The 22,830-nt window shown below is 41.0% G+C and overlaps 1 protein-coding gene and 1 long non-coding RNA gene across 10 annotated transcripts in view, besides 2 other annotated features; one reads left to right on the top strand and one right to left on the bottom strand.

Moving 5' to 3' along the window:
• Positions 1–12,142, bottom strand: part of DNAJC5B (DnaJ heat shock protein family (Hsp40) member C5 beta) — an 86,268-nt gene extending 74,126 nt beyond the window's left edge. For 3 of the 4 annotated variants that reach the window (NR_146171.2, NM_033105.6, XM_011517620.3), the window contains exon 1: positions 5,415–5,567. The gene's annotated coding sequence lies outside the window, so the exon portion shown is untranslated. Of the gene's footprint in view, positions 1–5,414; positions 5,568–12,055 lie in introns of those variants that run through there. The other variant, NM_001349432.2, reaches the window with a different exon arrangement.
• Positions 372–666: a silencer, noted in NCBI's record as "tiled region #3041; HepG2 Repressive DNase matched - State 8:EnhW". NCBI's record gives its function as "represses a minimal TATA promoter and a strong SV40 promoter by Sharpr-MPRA in HepG2 cells {active_cell/tissue: HepG2}" and the evidence as "EXISTENCE:reporter gene assay evidence [ECO:0000049][PMID:27701403]".
• The window catches only part of LOC105375883 (uncharacterized), a 41,410-nt gene continuing 24,218 nt past the window's right edge, over positions 5,639–22,830 (top strand). For 2 of the 6 annotated variants that reach the window (XR_007060946.1, XR_007060945.1), the window contains exons 1-4: positions 5,639–5,785; positions 5,887–6,097; positions 9,385–9,469; positions 13,814–13,889. This is a non-coding gene — a long non-coding RNA (uncharacterized LOC105375883). Of the gene's footprint in view, positions 5,786–5,833; positions 6,098–9,384; positions 9,470–13,813; positions 13,890–22,830 lie in introns of those variants that run through there. The other 4 variants (XR_929008.3, XR_007060944.1, XR_007060947.1 and 1 more) reach the window with 4 other exon arrangements.
• Positions 12,092–12,151: an enhancer, noted in NCBI's record as "active region_27470". NCBI's record gives its function as "activates an Ori minimal core promoter by ATAC-STARR-seq in GM12878 lymphoblastoid cells {active_cell/tissue: GM12878}" and the evidence as "EXISTENCE:reporter gene assay evidence [ECO:0000049][PMID:35858748]".

The raw sequence follows: 22,830 nt of genomic DNA, 5'->3' as shown, positions 1-22,830 counted from the left end.
ATGGGACCACAACTTGTAGCTTTCAGTAGGAGACACAATTAAGAGGAGGAGGACGAGGAGTGGCTTGAAAGGAGGATGAGGGGATCAGGTGATGGGTATCCTAAAAGCCCAAACTTGACCACTACACAATCTATGCATTTTTAAAAATTGCACTTGTACCCCATATATTTATACAAATACAATAAAAATTAAAGCACATTGGGTTCTACTCTCTGGAGCAGCATGAAGCATGCCTCCGGAGGTCAGCAAAGATGAGGGGAAAAGACACTAACTAGAGTGCTTGCTTCACAGCTGTGCCAAGGACTTGACTCCCCATGCATTTTAGAGCATAACCTTCCCCCTTCTGAGGTTCCCATGGGATAGCAGGGTAAACAGCAGGAGAGCTCCTTCTCAGCCCTGGTGGCACCAACGCCCCTTGGCTCTGGGTCACATTCCTCCACAGACTTCACAGGCCTCAGGTTACAAAGGCCCTGTTGCACAATTCTTGGGAGAGTGGGCATGGGGGCTGGGCTGGGATGACAGGCAGTGTCCTGCGCGTGTCGGAGATCCAGTGTGGCCGCCTGCCAAGGCGCCTCAGGGGACGGCAGCAAGAGGAGACTCTGCTCTCTCAGGATCTTCAGAGAGGTAGCTTCCTTTTGCTTTTTTTCCTTCCAAGCCTCTTAAATAAAACTTGTCAAGGCTGCATCTTCTCCGGTAATTCAAGAGAAAACATTTCAAAAGTTTGCTTGGCATACCTGTGTTTCATTTTACTGGAGAGATTTGAAACTTCAAAACCGCAAAAACCCCATCGTCTCAGCCCAAAATCTCCTTAAGCTGATAAGCAACTTCAGCAAAGTCTCAGGATACAAAATCAATGTACAAAAATCACAAGCATTCTTATACACCAACAACAGACAAACAGAGAGCCAAATCATGAGTGAACTCCCATTCACAATTGCTTCAAAGAGAATAAAATACCTAGGAATCCAACTTATAAGGGATGTGAAGGACCTCTTCAAGGAGAACTACAAACCACTGCTCAAGGAAATAAAAGAGGACACAAACAAATGGAAGAACATTCCATGCTCATGGGTAGGAAGAATCAATATCGTGAAAATGGCCATACTGCCCAAGGTAATTTACAGATTCAATGCCATCCCCATCAAGCTACCAATGACTTTCTTCACAGCATTGGAAAAAACTAAAGTTCATATGGAACCAAAAAAGAGCCCGCATCGCCAAGTCAATCCTAAGCCAAAAGAACAAAGCTGGAGGCATCACACTACCTGACTTCAAACTATACTACAAGGCTACAGTAACCAAAACAGCATGGTACTGGTACCAAAACAGAGATATAGATCAATGGAACAGAACAGAGCCCTCAGAAATAATGCCGCATATCTACAACTATCTGATCTTTGACAAACCTGAGAAAAACAAGCAATGGGGAAAGGATTCCTTATTTAATAAATGGTGCTGGGAAAACTGGCTAGCCATATGTAGAAAGCTGAAACTGGATCCCTTCCTTACACCTTATACAAAAATCAATTCAAGATGGATTAAAGATTTAAACGTTAGACCTAAAACCATAAAAACCCTAGAAGAAAACCTAGGCATTACCATTCAGGACATAGGCGTGGGCAAGGACTTCATGTCCAAAACACCAAAAGCAATGGCAACAAAAGCCAAAATTGACAAATGGGATCTAATTAAACTAAAGAGCTTCTGCACAGCAAAAGAAACTACCATCAGAGTGAACAGGCAACCTACAACATGGGAGAAAATTTTCGCAACCTACTCATCTGACAAAGGGCTAATATCCAGAATCTACAATGAACTCAAACAAATTTACAAGAAAAAAACAAACAACCCCATCAAAAAGTGGGCGAAGGACATGAACAGACACTTCTCAAAAGAAGACATTTATGCAGCCAAAAAACACATGAAGAAATGCTCATCATCACTGGCCATCAGAGAAATGCAAATCAAAACCACTATGAGATATCATCTCACACCAGTTAGAATGGCAATCATTAAAAAGTCAGGAAACAACAGGTGCTGGAGAGGATGTGGAGAAATAGGAACACTTTTACACTGTTGGTGGGACTGTAAACTAGTTCAACCATTGTGGAAGTCAGTGTGGCGATTCCTCAGGGATCTAGAACTAGAAATACCATTTGACCCAGCCATCCCATTACTGGGTATATACCCAAAGGACTATAAATCATGCTGCTATAAAGACACATGCACACGTATGTTTATTGAGGCACTATTCACAATAGCAAAGACTTGGAACCAACCCAAATGTCCAACAATGATAGACTGGATTAAGAAAATGTGGCACATATACACCATGGAATACTATGCAGCCATAAAAAATGATGAGTTCATGTCCTTTGTAGGGACATGGATGAAATTGGAAACCATCATTCTCAGTAAACTATCGCAAGAACAAAAAACCAAACACCGCATATTCTCACTCATAGGTGGGAATTGAACAATGAGATCACATGGACACAGGAAGGGGAATATCACACTCTGGGGACTGTGGTGGGGTCGGGGGAGGGGGGAGGGATAGCATTGGGAGATATACCTAATGCTAGATGACACGTTAGTGGGTGCAGCGCACCAGCGTGGCACATGTATACATATGTAACTAACCTGCACAATGTGCACATGTACCCTAAAACTTAGAGTATAATAATAAAAAAAAAACATTAAAAAAAAAAAAAAAAAGAATCCTGAAACTAAAACTTCTTTTATCCCTCTGTTTTTCACAATTAGCTTTCTTCTGCAGTTATACACTGTAGTGTGTGTAAAATTACTCAGTATATTACACAACTTTTAAAATTAATAAGGAAGCTGAAAGTTATTACAACAACTGTGTAAAGCCTATGCCATGATGGAATGCTCTTTCTTATGCTCCTTCTTGTTGGTAATTGCTTCATAATTATCTTTTATTAAAGGCAACCTGCATGTAATACCAGAAACATATGGAAAATCCTTACAGGAAGTACACATTTTAGTTGGCTAAAAAACAATCTAATGGCCTAGAAAATACTTACCAGACATCTCTAAGGTTAATGATGGCGCTGATGACTATAAAAGTTAGGTCTCTATTTATATTTAAAAATTCTTCATTTCATTTCATTTTCTTTCAGAATTTGGATCTTTGGGCTGATATTAGTACATTTGCAATAAATTTAATTGGAAAAACGCTGACTACCTGCACCCAGGGACTGCCTGGGCTCAAACTTGCAGATTAATTACGGATGCAAGACATATATAGCTTCATGTATGTCAAACCCTGGACAAGTCTAAGGAGGCTCCTCCTACACTATCATGTTAATTCCAAATAGAATATTAATTCATGGGATAAGTCACAGAAGGCTCATATAGAAGATATATTAGGTAAGTAAGTGTAGGTCGGATACCACGGATGGATGTAATAGCCAGCCCCACACCTGCCAGATAAAGTGTTTACTCATCTGTACATTCAAGGGTATACACACACACATTCATAAACAAAGTATTATCTACCTAAACAGGAAAAGACAAGGCCACAGGAAGACCGTATATTTATTATAAAGTAAAAATCTGGTAAATTGTATACATGTTTTTTTAAGAAAAAAAGGATTACTTCTAATCAGCCCTCAATTTACAGTAGCTAGTCAATTTCCCTGGTTTTATTTTCACTGTTATCTCAGTGTTTTGAATGGGGTCTTCAGTGCTTTTTCTTGTCATTGACCAAAGCTTATCTTGTATGGAGGTGCAGAGGCTAGGAGAATATCTGCTTTTACCAATAACCACACCAAGGTGATAAATGAGATTTCCTCCTTTTAGAATATTCTAACTTAGAAAATCAAAGAGTTAGTTCAAATATGAACCAATACATTCATTCATTGTGGGGCAGAGTGTATTGGAGAGGCCACCAGGCTAAGAGTGAGGGGGCTTAAACTTTAGTCCCCAGCACTAACTAGCTTGATACCCTTAGCTGAGACACTTCTCTGTGTGGTTTCTCCTGGAAACGAAGCTGTGGAATGGATGATCTTCTAGTTCCCCTCCGACTCTAAAATTCTGCAGTATGCGACAGGCTGCAGCAGCATGTGACTAACACAAGGATCAGGGAACGTTACAGTCAACAAATGCAAATGGAGATGAGTTAGGACATTCTGTGTTTTGTGGGTATTATCTGAGGTTCAGCTTAAACTTAGTTTTCAATGGCTATCAATGAAGGAAGCCTAAAAACTGGGCCAATGAGATTTTAATGTTCAAGTCTTAAGTGGTTATGATTAGATCATAACCTAATTGTGAAAATCACAGTGACTTCTGTACAGAAGTTGAATGTGTGCTATGAAGTTTATGTGCAAGTATATTTTGCTTTTATCTGGATCTCTCAGTTTTACATGCTTTGGGGACTATTACTACTTTCATAGAGTGTGAGAGTATTGACCTTACTGCTGTGATATATTTATTCGTGATGTGTTGGAGGCCAAGGAGAGTTAGAGTTGTGTCCTGTGGATAGAGAATCCATCTCCTCCTCTTCTTGTCGATGGCTGTTGGGGTCCCCTGTGGGTAACTGACCTACCTGTCAGAACATGGACTCTTACTCCCACTGAGGGAGCATCGCCATCAACTCTGACCTTGCAGGCAGAGCTCAGCGTGCCTGCCTGAGCTGTCCTGTGCTCCAACTCCGGGGTCGCAGTGTGCTAAGACCCAAGGGAGTCCACATGGGGATGAGTCAGGGCCTGGCGCTGGCCCCATGCTCCGCCCCACTGGTAAACAGAACAGTTCTTTGCCGTCACTCAGAGCCTCTCAGGGCCCCAAGACTCCAGGAAGAAACAAGTATTGTAGAAGCCAAAACCCCAAGGCAAGGTAAAGAAAACAGAACTGTCCGCATCCCCAGCAATGATTTCACTGGCAGGAGTTGCTGGGGGCGGGGTGGGGGGTCCGGTATATGTTCCAGCAGAGCTGTTTTACTTACTTCTCAACCAAAAGGCCCTTCTCTTTTACTCTTTATAGGGGTATCCTTTTGCCTTTCAAGATTTGAACTTTCAAAACTTGACCTTAGAGTCAGTCTTGCTTGCTAACCCATAATACAACTTTGCACCTTTTATTACTTTTGTTTGTTTTTGTACTGGCTTCTATTAAAATACTTCCTTAGTTAACTTATTTTTGTTTACTCTACCCTGTCATCCGGGGAGGAGCTATTGAAAGAAAAAAACCTCTAAATAGAAATATATCACCAGCAGCACAAGTGGACTACAGCCTCGGAAATGTCCTCACCGTCCGGCTTCATGGCAAGCAGCCTGGCTGTTGGCAAGATGCGCCCAGCTCTGCTTCTGCTCGTGTGGAACCTTACATTACCCTAACGCAGCTGGGGCACAAGCCGTCTGTGCTTATACTATTCTTCTTAAGCTTGGAGACACACTCACCTTGAGATCTCTCCTCTTTTTCATCTAGACACTGGCAAGTCCTGTTCTGAGCTTAGCAATGCCAAGTACCTGAACTGGAGGCATGGCTGGCTGATCCCTTCTAGCTCCCTCCAGTAGTGTCCCACCTTGGCTATATCAGTAACTGCGCCTCCTGTTATTTCTCCTTCCCAGTTGTCAAGGTCAAACCTGGGCTGGATATTGTGATGTCACAGAGTGGAATCCTCACTCCTCCAGATGGTCCAGCTGAGGCCCTCTTGGACAACACTTCCTCTCCTGCCCATGGTGGGAGGTTGGGAAGGACATTCCCCCATTTCCATTTGCTCTGCCATTCAAAACCTTGTGAGGGCCCTCAGGGAAGAATCCCTTTGCAGGTCATAAACTGACCTGCAGAATTATGGGATCTTAACTGTGGGGAGAGACCTAGAAGACCGGCTAGTGACCAGATTCTCATCTAACTCCTTTTTTTTTGCAGATGAGGAAACTGAGGCCCCACGTGGTGAAGACAATTTTTACCCGAATCCACCCACAACAAGAGACCATTTGGATAATGTACATTATGGGAAGAGAACAGAGTCTCAGTGAAGATCATGTTTCCCCAGCAACACAGGTGCCAGGAGTAGCTGGCTCTGGTCCCAGCCCAGACTCAGAAATCCTGAGCCACCAGACCATTTCTAGATTAACAAGTAAGGTGACTTCTGAGCAACTAATGTTTTCATTGAGATTTGATGATAAGCAGCAAAGCTCAAATGAAAGTCCAGAGTTAGTGTTGGCAGGGCGAGATGGCTCATGCCTGTAATCCCAGCACTTTGGGAGGCTGAGGTGGGAGGATCACTTGAGCCCAGGAGTTTGAGACCAGCCCGAGCTATATAGTGAGACCCTATCTCTACAAAAAATACAAAAATTAGCTGGGCGTAGTTGTGCGTGCCTGTAGTTCTAACTACTCAGGAGGCTGACAGGGGATGATCGCTTAAACCCAAGATATCGAAGCTGCAATGAGTTGAGATTGCACCACTGCACTCCAGCCTGGACGGCAGAATGAAACCTTGTCTAAAACACACACACACACACACACACACACACACACACACACACACACACACACACACACACAGAGTATTGATTACAGCGCTATACCAGGTTCTAGTGTTGAGTAAGGGACAGGGAGGAGCAATCTGTAAAGAAATAGAGTCTCACTGGAATTTCATTCTTCATTATTTCATACCCTTCACTTTTTCTAGACGCTAACCCCATATGATACTAAAAAGTATCTGTATTGCATCAGACGACGTATCTGTGAAGTCAGAGAATTGTGCTTTAAGAATCTCTCAAGAGGAGAACATATATTGGGCTTTCATAATACCAATAACATTTTACATCATGCTTCATTTACAAGCTATTTTCACACATATCACTCTATTTAATCTTCACAACTTGGTGAGATAAACAAAGTATTATTTTCAGTATAATTTTCTGGATGAGAAAATTATAGCTTAGAGAAGTTGTGTCTTGCACGAGATCACAAAGCTAATTAAGTGGAAAGGTTACTTAACATTAACTACAAACCAGATCTTCCACCAAGCCTTTTCCCCACCACAGGGCTTTGCTGGTTGGGGAGAAATTGTCATTTGGTCCCAGAACACACTTGAAGGCCACTGCCTTAAGCAACCCTTTGAGTAACAAGGAAGAAAGTATTCCCGTAGGTCATAAATACTGCTTTACTAACTTCCTAAATGTCTTCATAAAATCTTAGGGAAATGGTTAATGGACACTAATTTTAAACTTTAAAATAATATAATTATTGCCCTTTCTTCCAACAATTCCACATCTGTGAATTCTCCTAAGAGAACCATTATGGATATGAAAAATATTTAGCTACAAGAGGTTTTTTGAAGCACTGTTTATAACAGAAAACAAATATAAAGCTCAGCATTGGAAAAGTGGTAAAATGGATTATGCTGAACTCATGAAAATAATGTCAGGGTTTCCCACACTTTGATTATTCATGTGGCATCTTCAGAATATTGCCATCTGCACTAATATTTACTTAACATTTTCCTTTAAATTAATTCATACATTTTACTGGAATAAAATTATTTAAAGGTATTTTTTATTATTAACATAAGTAGAAATACAGTATTAATTGCCTTAAATGTCAGATGACAATAAAAACAAATACAATGAAAACAAAGTAATGTTATTAATGCATGAATTTGGTCCCAATACCTTGAAGAAAACATATGACTGATTTAATAAAATCACAAGTAATCCCTTTTTTTGCCATCACAAACTTCACCTTTCTGCATTAAAAAATCTCTTTTTTCACCTCTGATCTATAAAAGGTTCAATGGAAAAAAGATATGCAGTGTGTGTCTGACCCCAAATCACAGTTAGATATATTTATGCATACCTTGCATACTAAATCAGTAATTCTCAAAACTTGCTTGAAAGGTCACCTTGCTTAGAACAGGGTATTCCTCTGGCAGGATATGCAGGGATCAAACCTCTTTGCTCAAAGCAGTCTTCCTCCAGCTATCATCTCAGGGCAAATAAAAATGACATCTCTCCTTGTGTTTTGTCTTGGCTGAGCATACTCAATACTGTACATTCTGTGGAGGTGTGGGTTATGCCGCATCCTTTGAGCATACATCCCTGTGTTGAAACAGGTGCACACCTGTAGCAGAGGCAGGCAAAGCCTCACACCTGGAGCACACAGAAGCTTCAGTCCCCTATGGCAGTGATGAGGGAAGCCTGCATAGCTCTTCAGAAGCAGGCACTCTGCAGGCTAAGTGAAAGCTATAGATATTTGTAAGTCAGAGTTCAAAGGTTTTTGCTTAGTTATGGAGGAGGATTTTGTGGGGGGAAATGCTAATTTTGTCAACACTTAAATTCCACTTCAAGGCAGAATTTCTCAAATTGTGTTCTACAGACCACCTGCACCAGAATCACCTACTTTATATATATATATATACAGATTCCCACACAGCTTCCTGCATTTACTGCCTCCAAATCTCACGGCCTGAGTGAGAGACTCATGTTAAGTCAAGCTTCTCCAGGAGCTTGTGGTGTAGGTGTACACAAATACTTGAGAACAATGCTCTAGGCCAGAAGTTCCCAAACTTTAGAGCAAACCAAAGAGTGCCTGGAGGACTTGTTTTTGTTTTTTGTTTGTTTGTTTGTTTTGTTTTCTGAGATGGAGTCTCACTCTGTTGCCCAGGCTGGAGTGCAGTGGCACGATCTCAGCTCACTGCAACCTCTGTCTCCCGGGTTCAAGCAATTCTCTGCCTCAGCTTCCTTAGTAGCTGGGCTTACAGGCACCCCCCCCACCACGCCCAGCTAATTTTTTGTAATTTTAGTAGAGATGGAGTTTCACCATTTTGGCCAGGCTGGTCTTGAACTCCTGACCTCGTGATCCACCCGCCTCGGCCTCCCAAAGTGCTGGGATTACAGAAGTGAGCCACTGCGCCCGGCTGAGGACTTGTTAAAACACAAATTGCAGGCCCCACCCATCAAGTTTCTAGTTTGGGATGTCTAGAGTGAGGCTCAAGACTTGACACTTTTAGCAGGTTCCTAGGCCTGATGGTGGACACCAGACTTTGAGAACTACCGCACTTGGACCAAGAAATTGAATGCACAAGAAATTGAGTGCTCTCGATAGTAGTACAGAATGTACAGTATTGAGTACGCTCTAAAAGCATTTCCAAAGGCCTAGGAAATGGAGTTTGGACCTTGAGTCTTTACGTATTCAGAAAAGAATTGGTATAGAAAGGAATTTTGTTCTTATTTTGCTTTTGGTTTTTGTTCTTTAGGATTTTTCTTACAAATAATTTTTATTTTTCCACTAAAATGCTCGTAGTCTATGTCCATCCATTCAGGATACTTCAAGGTTAAACAGAATCACTTTTCCTTATTTTGTACCTTTTAAAATATGGGAATCTTAATGAATGAACACAATTGATGTCTGACTTTTCAGAGGCCTGCATTAATTTGATTTCAGTGACCCACTGGAAACCAGTGTCAGCATAACAACAGTTACGAGAGCTAAACCTACAAAATAGGTAAGGCATATAAACTGACTAAGTGCTAGAGATTTTAATTAAGCCTAGTGACTCAGAAGCTGGACTCCCTCTTAAAAGATGTTGAGAATTCAACTTAATTCTGAAAAAGTACATCTAAATTCGGGTCTTTTTACCAACCAAACTATTTATGCTTAATAGAAATGGAAGCGTGCCTGTAGAATCAGAAAGATCTTTCTGTTGAATCAGAAACATATTGCTAATGTTTGTAGCTATGGGACCCACCTCATGTACAAACAAAATCATAACATTTTCTCAAAACAAAGGTAGTACTATATACCCCAACAGAATTCATTTTTAAGGAGTGCTAATGACATTATTAAAAGAAAATGTCAGCCAAACTGCAATAAAACATTTCCAGGCCAATAAAAGTCGTTTGAGTTGAATGCTCTAAAACTATTGGCTTTGAAAGGTTAAAATAATAAGTGATCACAGATCCAAGAAACACAATGCTCAAGTCATTAGCAGAGGCATTTTATGCTGTATTGTAAGTAAAGTGTAAGGCATGTATTGGTTTAGATCCTATAAGGTGATCCCTATAAGACCAATGCCTGCCCTTTCTATGTGGCTCTTCTCTGAAGAACAGAAAGTTATATATAGGAACAAGAACCCACACATTTTAGAAACTAAAAAAAAAAAAAATTATATTTGACTTCGTGATACATTTGTGTGATTCCATTCAGACATAACTGTCTGATATTTTGGAAGTGCTTTAAACCAAACATGAGACACACTGTGAAGACCTACATTCCAAAAGACTGCTGCTAATATTGGTCTAACTTTCCCAGTGAGTCTCTGTCTCAGAAAACTTTTCTACTTTCTCCACCCATGATAGAAATCTGTCTCTTCTCCTTTTTCTTTACCCCCAAATAGTCACAATTGCAGAAACACATAATGCCATACAGACCACGCCAAGTACAAGTGGTCTCTGCTGTGGCCTGAGAGTTCTACAAAATTCATATGTTGAAACTTAATCTTCATTGTGGTAGTACTGAGAGGTGGGGCCTTTTGCAGAGTGACTAAATCACTCATTGTATTAGTTTGTCTTCACGCTGCTATGAAGAAAGACCCAAGACTGGGTAATTTATAAAGAAAGAGGTTTAATTGATTCATGGTTCTGCATTGCTGGGGAGGCCTCAGGAAACTTACAATCATGGCAGAAGGCAAAGGAGGAGCAGGCACCTTCTTCCCAGTGTGGCAGAACGGAGCGAGTGGGAGCAGGGGAAATGCCGGACGCTTATAAAACCATCAGATCTCATGAGACACACTCATTATCACAACAACAGCATAAGGGAAACCACCTCCATAATCCAATCACTTCCCACCGGATCCCTCCCACAACATGTGAGGATTATGGGGATTACAATTCAAGATGAAATTTGAGTGGGGACACAGCCAAACCATATCACTCATGAATGGATTAGTGCCTTATAAAAGGGCTGGAAGAAACTAGCCCCTTTTGCTCTTTTGCTTTTCTGTCATGTGAGGACACAGCGTTTGACCCTTCCAGAGGATGTGGCCATAAGGCACCACCTTGGAAGCAGAGCAGCCTTCACCAAGGCCAGTGCCTTAGTCTTAGACTTCCCAGCTTCCAGCACTGTGAGAAACAAAATCCTGTTATATATAAATGACCCAGCCTGTGGTCCTTTGCTATAGTAGCATAAATGGACCAAGACAGTCTCCAATCTCAATTATGCCCTCAGCACAGGGCAGTTCTCTCACTGTCCACTGCACACTCATTGCAAACTCTCACCAATCTCTGGAAGCCTTTCATTTGTGTCCCTCTCATTCTTAGTGGTGAGCCTCATCTCCTCCGCAAAAAACTCAGAAACCATTAACTATTCCCTTTTTCAATTTCAACCCTACCCTACTCTAAATACATCCACATCTGTGCCCACTCTTAACACCTTCCTGCAGCTCAGTGGAAAGGCATTCTCTCTCAGACCAAGGATAATACCTCTCTATGTGACCTGAGCCCCCATTTAATACTGCTACTTTTGAGAACTTGCTCCTTCAATTATTCCCTTTAGCTAATTTCTACCACAGTCTCTGTCTCTGTCTCTCTCTCTCTCTCTCTCATTTCTCGCTCTCCCTTCTCAGCATAAAAACATTCTCAAGTCTTTTCTATTTATAAAAACATGAAACCTCCCTGAACCCCAAGCCGCTCTCCCCAACACAGCTACTTAAAGTTCTCTCTTCTCTTCCAAGCTAAGCTAATGGAAAAAAAAAATGATCTACTACATTTCCTTTCAAGCCATAAGGCCGATGTCTAAAGCAAGACAAGGAGGAGACAAAAGAACACAGGCTTGTTAATCATTTTATACTTAATCATTTCCCTTCATGGCATCACTACCAAACTCTCCCAGGACTTCTTCAAGCTACAGCTACAGCTACAGCTAGAAGACAGACTACCCATGTCCTTGCCTCAAAGACTGTTTGCAGCATTTTAATGTGATCTTTCTCATTATAATGCTATTGCCAGGATATCGGGGAATGGATTATGTGTAGTTCAGGGTCAGATGGACTCAGAATCCCTCCAGTTACCCTCCAGCTGTGTTTCTGGCTTACCTTGGTGTTAGAATCACAGGAAAGCAAGCGTTTGGAAGTGTCCTCTCCTCATGAGATCTTGCCGTTATCTGTATGTTCCCTTGAAACCACTGACTCTTCATTTTTACTAAGCCACCTCTGATCACCTTCCCTTTCATTTTCAGATGGATTATCCTCTGAATTCCCCCTGTGCTTAATACTCTTATAGCATTAAGAAACCTAAAGAAATCTACCTTGATCTTTTCTCTGAGCAGTCTCTCATTAGGTTGAGTTCTACCCAGTTTATTTGCATAACTACTCCTTGATTCTAAGATTAAATTGGTTAGGAGACAACTAAGAACTAATAACAGCTTTTTAGGAAAAGAAAACAAGAAAAGACTACTATATAAATCGAGGCATCAATTGAACATATGTTCCAATTTAAGAGACGCTTAAATGTAGAAAAAGGGGCTGCTGTTTGGAATATATGGAATACAGTACTGGGCAGACACAAGAGCCAGGCCTGTAGTCCCAGCACTGTGGGTGGCCAAGTCCAGGAGTTGGAGATCAGCCCAGACAACAGAGAGAGACCGCATCTTTACAAAAATTTTAAAAAATTATCTGAGCATGGTGGCATGCACCTGTAGTCCTAGCTAGTTGGGAGACTGAGGTAAGGAGGATCACTTGAGCCCAGGAGTTTGAGGTTACAATGAGCTATGATTGCCCCCACTGCACTCCAGCCTGAGCAACACAGCAAAACCCTGTCTAAAAAAAAAAAAAAAAGAAAGAAAGAAATACAGTATTTATTTTTGTTGACTACTTACTATGCAAAACACTCCCATGGGATAGAAAGGGTCACAGTAGTACCTGCTGGAAGAACTAGCCCACAGAGCAGGGAGACAAAAGTCACACATAACTTAACTGCAAATCAAGTGTGAAAACAGCATTGTTAAGACTACCATTTTTGCAGTTATAGCCTGAATTCCAATCCTTGCCCAATTTTTTCATCTATAAAAAGGAAAGAATGATACCTTCTTTGCAGGAGTGCTGCAAAGAAGAAAGACACCGGCTGTAGACTTTAGCATGGTTGAAGCATAGTGGAAGTTCTCAATCACAAGGCAGTGTGATTTTTACTATTATTAGCATTATTATAGAGAAAAAATAGATGCTCTATGGATTTAAAGAAGGAAAAGATCATGTCTTCTCAGGAGACACTAGAAAGACTTCATTTAACACGTGGTCTTTGAGAAGAGCCTCGAAGGATGAGTGACACTTCTTTAGGGCAAGGTGGAGAACTGCTTCTCCCAGCTCTCCGCAATCCTGACTTAGGCACCATGAGCCTGCCAGCATGACCACCTTGAGAGTCATGCGCAGAGATGACACTTTGTACATGTCAAAATTTATAATATTTATAATTGTACCTGGTGAACTTTTTAATTCAATAAATTCCTATTTATATCATTGCTTTGAAACAGGCAATACTTGTTGAGGGGCTATAATGTTCATAAAATAGTCAAAAAAGCAAATAAATGATATTTTGAATAAGCATTACTGTGAAATCATTTCAAAAGCATGTACTTGTTATTAATGACAGACAGTGCGTTATGTGCCTCTGGCTTGTCATCCTGTCTCTGGAGTACATGTTGTAAAGGAAGAAAAGTAGGTAATTATATTTTACATGAACATCATATTGAGTGTTCCTTCCTTGTAGTTTTGTAAAGGAAAATTGTGGCAAGATTGTCCCCAGTTAATGCCAGGAAAAAAATAAAAAATAAATGTTATTTAAAACCTGTCTCTTAGAAACACAAGTAAAACTTGTTCAAGTGGTTTGCAGTCATTGAACATAGATCAGCTCCTATGAAAACAAACTCCATGGGTAAGTCTGTATTATTATATTATGTAGGTATTTTGTTGCATCAAATGTTGCTTAACATGAAATTAAATATATAGTTTGTATCAGAGTGAAATAAATATCAATGTTATTATTAGTTAATCCATTATTGGCATACTCTAATAACTTTGTTATAATAAGGATTTTAATTATATCTATATTCATCTTAACAGGTGCAAACTTATGGTTCAAAAAATGAACAAGTAACTTTTCAATCTTGTTCTATAAATATAAAAGTTAATTTTTGTCTCAGATGTCTGTTTTAACAATTATCTTCAAGGTATTTATAATAAAAACACAGTTGAAAGTGTGTCTTTAATACTTGTGTATTCTGCATAAAAATGATCTAACATAGGTCATTCTAGAACATAAGATTCTAACATTTATTAGGATTCTATATCTCTATCTGATTCCCAAGGTATTTCTTGTTTTTTTTTGTTTTTGTTTTTGTTTTTTTGTTGTTGTTTTGCTTTGTTTTGTTTTGTTTTGAGGTGAAGTCTTGCACTGTCCCCCTGGGCTGGAGTGCAATGGTGCAATCTTGGCTCACTGCAACCTCTGCCTCCTGGGTTCAAGCAATTCTTCTGCCTCAACCTCCCGAGTAGCTAGGATTACAGGCATGCGCCACCACGCCTGGCTGATTTTTTTGTATTTTTAGTAGAGACGGGGTTTCACTATGTTGGCCAGGCTGATCTTGAACTCCTGGACCTCTTGATCCACCTGCCTGGGCCTCCCAAAGTGCTGGAATTACAGACATGAGCCGCCGTGCCCAGCCCAGTATTTCTTTATTATAGAACCTTGTCTGGGACTGTAATTTTTGCCTAGGTGTTTTTTTTTCTTCAACTTTTAAGTTCAGGGGTACATGTGCAGGATGTGCAGGTTTGTTACATAGGTAAACGTGTGCCATGGTGGTTTGCTGCACAGATGATCCCATCACCCAGGTATTAAGCCCAACATCCATTAGCTATTCTGTCTGATGCTTTCCCTCCCCCCGACCCCCCATCAACAGGCCCCAGTGTGTGTTGTTCCCTGCCATGTGTCCATGTGTTCTCTTCATTCAGCACCCACTTATAAATGAGCACATGCAGTGTTTGGTTTTCTGTTCCTGTGTTACTTTGCTGAGGATAATGGCTTCCAACTCCATCCATGTGCCTGCAAAGGACATGATCTCGTTTCTTTTTATGGCTGCATAGTATTCCATTGGTGTATATATACCACATTTTCTTTATCCAGACTATCACTGATGGGCATCTAGGTTGATTCCATGTCTTTGCTATTGTGAATAGTGCCACAATGAACATATGTATGCATGTATCTTTATAAAAGAATAACTTATATTCCTTTGAGTAGATACCCAGTAATGGGATGGCTGGGTCAAATGGTATTTCTGCCTCTAAGTCTTTGAGGAATCGCCACACTGTTGTCCACAATGGTTGAACTAATTTACATCCCCACCAACAGTGTAAAAACATCCCTTTTTCTCTGCAACCTTGCCAGCATCTATTGTTTCTTGGGATTTTTAATGATCTCCATTCTGACTGTCATGAGATGGTATCTCATTGTGGGTTTGATCTGCATTTATCAAATGATCCGTGATGTTGAGCTTTTTTTCATATTTTTTTTGGCCACATGTATGTCTTCTTTTGAGAAGTGACTGTTCATGTCCTTTGCCCACTTTTTAATGGGGTTGTTTTTTCTTGTAAATTTGTTTAAGTTCCTTGTAGATCCTGGATATTAGATCTTTGTCAGATGGAAAGATTGCAAAAATGTTCTCCCACTCTGTAGGTTGTCTGTTCACTCTGATGATAGTTTCTTTCGCTGTGCAGAAGCTCTTTGATTTAATTAGATCCCATTTGTCAATTTTTTTGCTTTTGATGTAATTGCTTTTGACATTTTCGTCATGAAATCTTTGCCTGTGTCTATGTCCTGAATGGTATTGCCTAGATTTTCTTCTGTTTGTTTGTTTGTTTTTTTGTAGTTTTTAAGTTTTTAATCCATCTTGAGTTAATTTTTGTATATAGTATAAGGAAGGGGACCAGATTCCATTTTCTGCATATCATTGCCTGAGTTTTAATAGTATCACTAATTGTTAAAGTTTGACATAAAACACTGCATAAAGAATACTTTATTGGACTCTAGTCATTTGGAAACATTTCTAGCATCTCTCAGGGGTGTGGTGTTTGGAATACTCTAATCTGATTTTGGATATAGAGTGCCTCCTTATCCAAAAAAGCCCTTCAACTTTCTTTCCTACCTACTTCCTCAGTTTTAAATCCCAAATAGAATCATTCCTCCCTTCCTTGGGAAACTTTACCAGCTGTATTAATCAGCTTTTGTTGTGATAATGTTGCACAATTTCTGGGTTTAGCTGGGAGTGGTGGCGCATGCCTGTAGTCCCAGCTACTTGGAAGACTGAGGTGGGAGGATTGTTTGATCCCAGGTGCTCAAGGCTGCAGTGAGCTGTGATAGCACCACTGCAATACAGCCTGGGCAACAGAGTGAGACCTTGTCTCAAAAAAAAAAAAAAAAAAAAATTCTCAGTGGTTTGCAGTACCAAAACATTTACTTCTTGCCCACAGGTTGGCTGGTCAGCTACAGCAGCCCTGCTCTGTGCTGTGGGTGAGGCTCAGGTCTGTCCCATGAGTCTCTCATTTTGGGACCCACATTGGAGGAACAGTGGCTACCTGGGGCAAGCTCTTCTTAATGGTAGAGTAGGAAGGAACACAAAAGACTGAGAAGTCAAGGCAAAGGGTGCAGGCACATTCAAAGCCTCTGCTCACATTTATTGGCCAGAACAACTCCATGACCAGCCCCAACATCAATGGAGAGATTATGATACTCCTAATATAGGTGAGGAAAAGAGACAGAGAGAACATTTGCTGAAGAGAACATTTGCTGAACAGCACCCCCGCTAAACATATAAGGGTGGAACAGAGATAGGTTAACAAAAATCAACATCCTGTGCCAAAAGGGGAAGCAGTCACTGTTTTGTGGCACTTGTGAAATCCCACTGGGCAAACATTCTGCTGGATGGGTCACTGGGCAGCAGAGCAGGCTTGAAAGCCTAAATACCCTATAAGCTCATGTTCCACCGCAGGCCAACACCATGTACTACCCACAAACTCCCCAAAAGGGGAAATGACCAAAGACAGAAATGAATTAAACCTTCGAACACATGGTATCTGTGCCACGGACCATGAAACTGAAATCCTGCATCCACTTAAATCCTGTACTAAGAGATGCCTCTGTCTTCTGAGGTGTCAGGAAGTGAGTAAAGAAAAAACAAAGTAAAGAAAGCAAAGTCAGTAGAGCAGTAAAAAACATCAATTAATCAATTGATCAATTCAGGAAACTTGAAATAATTTTCCTTTTCGGGATCAAGGAACTACAAGAAAAGAATTCCTGCCTGAGAAAGGAGTGGAAGACCCATGAGATACCTTCTTCAGAACCTCTGGCAGCCTTCCTGGGATGTGGAAAACACTGTTTGTTTTTCCTTCCATTTCATTTAGATGAAGAGTTGACTACTCGCACAGTCATACAGTTGATGGCATTGTCAGGAATAATCTGTAAATAATCTGTAACACTCATGTTTACTCATAAACAGATCCCTCTTTCCTGGACCAAATTGCAGTTTTCTTTGGAAACTATTTTAATCAAGCCTTTTTCGTTTCAAAGTAACATCAACTCACATCAAACTAACTCAAGCCAGCCAAGTGGCTGGGGTAAGGATTCTGGGGAATCTCACAAAACTCAAGGTCAAGAGAGTGGCCTTGTGAGTGACTGGAATGAGCAATTGGCTGCACAGTAAAAACTGAGGCCAAATCTGAGCAGGGTGTGTTGGAATTGATGTTTTCATGTAATTAGCAATGCCACTCGCTCAGGGGACCCAATGTTGGACTTTTCAAATGCCACCTGTGTCTGTCATCTCTTTCACACTGAAGCTGAGCACCCCCACCATGTTCTACACAGGGGACCATCAGGGAACTGTCCCTGACACATGGCAGCCACTGGTGGAACCAGATGTGGGCATAGGACCCAAAGGCAGCTTATGCATTGCTTGCCAGAAACCCATGAGGTGGGCCTGTGCAAAGGTCTTACCCAGTGGTAATGACAGTAGTTAACCAAGTCAGTTAGTTTCAGTTACTTCGGACTGGGAAATACAGAAGATGGGCCAGTGAGTAGCCAAGGCAAATGGACCCAATGTAGGGAGAGACATATCAGCCACAGCTAGGAGGCCATGCTGGCTCAGATTGCTGGAGGCAGCCGCTGGCCTCTACAAGTGTCTCCCCCAGTTCTAGTCCATAGGTGCCTAGATGAATCTGCCTGGGCTGCCCCAAAAAAGAAAAAAAAAAAGGTACTACAGACCAGGTGGCTTAAACAATAGAAGTTAACTTTTTCACAGTTCTGGAGGCTGGAAGTCTCAGACAAAGGGATCAACAGGATTGATTTCTTCTAATGTCTCTGTCCTGGCTCATAGACAGCTGCCTTCTTCCTGTGTTTTCACATGGTCTTCCCTCTGAACATGTCTGTGTCCAAACCACTTCTCCTTATAAGGGCACCAGTCATATTGAATTAGGACTCACCATAAGGCCTCATTTTAACTTACCCCTTTAAATATCCTGTCTCCGAATACAGTCATATTCTAGTGTATTTGGGGTTAGGACTTCCACATATGAATTTTGGGGGGTACCCAATTCGGTCCATAACAAGGCCCGCTCCCTTTAAAAAAGTGTCTTGTATGAGTCTATGTGATCTCGATAGTCTAGCAGACTCTATTAGGACTCTCTGTTGTAAGCAACAGAAAAACCAAACAGGGTTAAGGAAAAAGGGCATTTACTGGCTTGAGAAACTGAAAAGAGTCCAAGAGTGTCACTATCTTTAGGCATGTCTAGATCCAGAACACAAATGCTGGCATTGTATCTGTTGGGATTATGGCAGGAAATAGATGGCTCCGTCCAGTTGGGTTTTAAAAAGAAGACTACTTACAAAGATGAGGGTGGGGCTTAGGAAATTCGAGGGATATTGAAGTACCAGATTAAGTAATAGTGGGACACTGTTGTCGCTAACCCTGAAGGAGCAAAGCAAGAGTGGCTGCTGGAACCTGAAGACCAAGAGCTGTGTGGAGACAGTTCCCTGAGAGAGCTGCAGCCTTCAGTAGGGAGACACAGCCAGTCCCAGGAGGCCCCACAGAGAGGGAAATAAATAACCCAATTTTTCCGTCAGCACTCCCATTTGGAAGCCAGAGAAGAGTTTATGTAGTCAGCCGAGAGACAGGAAGAGAGGGTAGACCTGGGGAAAGTGGAAGATATGCAGCACCATCACAAAGTCAGACTTGCTCTCCACCCTCTTCCTAACCAGGGTCTTGCTTATCAGCCTCACAGTTTGCAAGCTACAGGAGGAGAGCTTCTCTTGCCCAAGGTTTTTGAGCAACATCCCCCGCCACTGAATTTAGTCTTATTGACCTCGCTTATATAACCAAACCCATCTCTATTTCAATCTGTATTTATGCCCATCTCTAAATCAATCACTGAGGCCAAAATAGGACTGAGCAAGTCATGATCACTTGAAGACCCTTGGAGCTAGGAGGGTGAGGTCAGTCGTATTGAGCACAGCGTGTGGAATAAAGTAGAGTGCCTGGCCAAAGGAAAATTCAGGCATTGTTAACAGAAGAAGGGGGAATTCATAGAGGCTGATCAGGCAAAAACAGCATATGTACATTACATTATCCATACTACTCATAGTACAGTCCTTGGCAAATAAGTAATGACTGGTTGCATTGATTGGATGCAGTGTTTTGAGAACTACTCATTGCACATAGCTGGTGCTCAATACATGTTTTCAGAAATCTGTTGGAATATAAACGTTAATAATCATCAAATTAGAACTCCATGGACAGAATTATTTTGCAATTGGCTAGAAGACTTCTGAATCCAGAGGATATTTTTTTCACTTCCAGTCTTTAGAGTGATCCTTATGAATGTTGACTTATGATTATTAGCTGCTTGTTTGTAGAAATCTATATTTACATCCCAAACACTGTCTCTTTCAGTGTTCTGAATTATTTTGTAAACTCTATTTATTTGCTTTCATTAGACCACAGTCTTGAGAATTTCTGGCTTGTTTACACACATCACCAAGTTTTTTTTTAAGACTCATTTAGCAAAATATCATCATGAAAGAGGCAGCAAACTGAAGTAAGATTAGTGAACAATTTAAATTTAAGTTAATAAGCCTTCTTTGTTTTTGTCCATGAAGGATGACTATCAATGTTGCTAAGAGCTGTTTATTAAACTGATAAAAATAAATATTGTCTTTAAAAAGTCAGGCTGCCTTTATCTGATCGCAAAGGTGAGCTTGTAAAATTAATCCTTCTGGTGTTTGCTTGTCATTCAAGCATAACTTTTCTTCTACCTACACCCACTGTTTTTTTTTTTGTTGTTGTTGTTGTTCAGCTCCAGCAAGTTTTTGGCTGTGGTTCTATCAATGGCTCTTTGAATAAGAAGCCCTGATGGTAGGATGTAAGCAATATTTTTTTAAAAGTGGGAGCAGGGAGTTAGATTGGGCTGACATTAAAAATCAAAGAATCTTCAAAGTGTAAGACTCACCGTTATTAGGGTTTTAATGCCATTGAAAGTTTCAGATAGGGAAACTTTCCCTTTGTGTCTCCCATAGTCTGGAGAGTGATTATACTTTCATTTATTTATTCCATAAATATTTATTGAAGGCCTGCTTTGTGGAAGGTAAGATATACGCAGTAGACAAGAGAAACATTAATTAGGACCCACCCACCTTAATGAAACTTATTCTACTATGGGAGTCCCCAGATGCACAAATGATGGGACTGTCAGGGCATCTGCAGATACGTGTGTATAAATGTGTGTGATGTAGTGAACTTACTGTGCATGCTCATCTTTGTGCAGAACAATGGTGGTTAATGAGGATGTCAGGGAGAATAGGAGAGAAAGCCTGAAATCTCATGGCATTTGCTTCTTGATTCTCTGCCAGCAAAGACAAACAGTAATGTAAAGAGCTCCCAAAATCATACCCATTGGATTTTGAGATGCATGATGCACTGGAAAAGTGGAAGATTTAACTTCCTTCTTACCTCTTACATACACATGTCACCTATCTAAATTCCTATCTCTTCTGCTAAGCTTTTCTGATCATTCCAGCCCAGAATGATCTCACTGCCTCCTTACTATCAACTCTTATAGTGCTTAGTCTTAATTACCTACTCCCTCACAGTAGGACCTGATTTTTGGAGGTCTCCCTGTGCTCCTTAAGGGCAGGGACCAGATTTAATGCTTTTTTAATATATTGTATGGCCCATCGTCTGGGGCAGAGTGGGAGCTCTAGAACTAAATTGACATGAATGCTCTGCTCAAGTTAATATTAAACTCAGTTTGCATTTTCTTGGGCCATAAACCACCCAGTAATTAGAAGGCCATTTGTGAAGGAAGAGCTCTGAATGTACCAGTAATGGAACAAATCTTGTCTGGTGGCTGGAGGAAGTAGACATGGCCTAATAACAATCTGATCAATTAGGTCAAAACTGACCCAGACAACATCAGAGCTGGAAGTTTATACAAAAATCATTTGGTACACAATCCCCTCACTTTACAGGAAGGAAGCCAGGGCCCATCGAGTTTGCAGCCAGCTCAAGGTCACATTGAGTTTGTGGTAGGTCCCACTGAATTTGTGATAGAACTGGTGACTATAGCTATTGACCAAGTCTGTGCTGGGTAGAGTGTCAGGCTTGAGAGCCAATTAGATGTAGGCTTAACCTGGTGTTTGCCAAGTCCTCACAGTAATAATGACCATGTTTCAAACCTGTTTGAATGTTCCTAGCACCATGTCAAATGCTTCCCATCTGGTAATACCATGACTTCAGTTAATCTTCACCACACATGAGGGAGGCACTGTATCAGAGTTCCACCTGAGAAACCAAACCAGCAAGAGATATTCAGAATTTTTATGTGTAGGTTTATTTGATTGTGGGGTTGGTTAAGGAAGTCCAAAATCCATAGGGCAGGCCATTAAGAAAGGCAGGCTGGAATTTGAGGCACTCAGGGAAGCTGGTCCACAGATGGACTTTCTTCTTCAGGGAAGCCTTAGCCCTGCTTTCAAGTCCTTTTAACTGATTGAATCAGGCCTACCCAGATTATCCAGAATAACCTTCCTTACTTAAAGGCAATTGATTATGGACTTTAACAACATCTACAAAACACGTTCTCTGATTGAGGACAGCGATGCCTGGAATAGCATCTGTGATTGAGTAATTGGAGACAGTAGCTTAGCCAAGCTGACGTATAAAACTGACCATCCTGGATACTACTTTTCACTGGTTTCCCAAGTCACAGGGCTGGTTAGTGGCAGAGCCAGATCCCAGGCCTGCTCTGCCTGTCTCCATGGTCCATACCTGAGATGCACAGGACGGTCTGTGCATGTAAAGTTGGGCAAGTTCTTACACTACTCTGAGCCCCAGATTCTTTCCCCTATAAAATGTAGGAAGTCATATTTATGGCACAGTGTTATGTTAATCAAATGGGGAAAAGTGAGTTGTTAGCACTTAGTAGGGGCTCAACAAATGTTAGCTATTTCTTTCCCCTTTGTACTACATCAGTTGTCCCCAACTTTTTGGTACAAGCGGCCAGTTTCGTGGAAGACAATTTTTCCATGGACCAGGAGTAGGGGATGGTTTCGAGATGATTCAAGCACATTACATTTTTGTGCACTTTATGTCTATTATTATTACATTGTAATATATGATTAGGTAATTATACAACTCCCAATAATGTAGAATCAGTGGGAGCCCTGACTTGTTTTCCTCCAACTAGACGGTCCTATCTGGGGGTGATGGGAGACAGTGACACCTGAAGTGTGTTGCTTATGTCCAATCTACTTCATAATCTCATTTTGGTTGCTGTCA

This window comes from Homo sapiens, chromosome 8 (genome assembly GCF_000001405.40).
Source record: "Homo sapiens chromosome 8, GRCh38.p14 Primary Assembly".
Taxonomy (NCBI): domain Eukaryota; kingdom Metazoa; phylum Chordata; class Mammalia; order Primates; family Hominidae; genus Homo; species Homo sapiens.
Note: the sequence above shows the minus strand (reverse complement) of the source record. Positions and strands in the feature narration are given on the sequence as shown.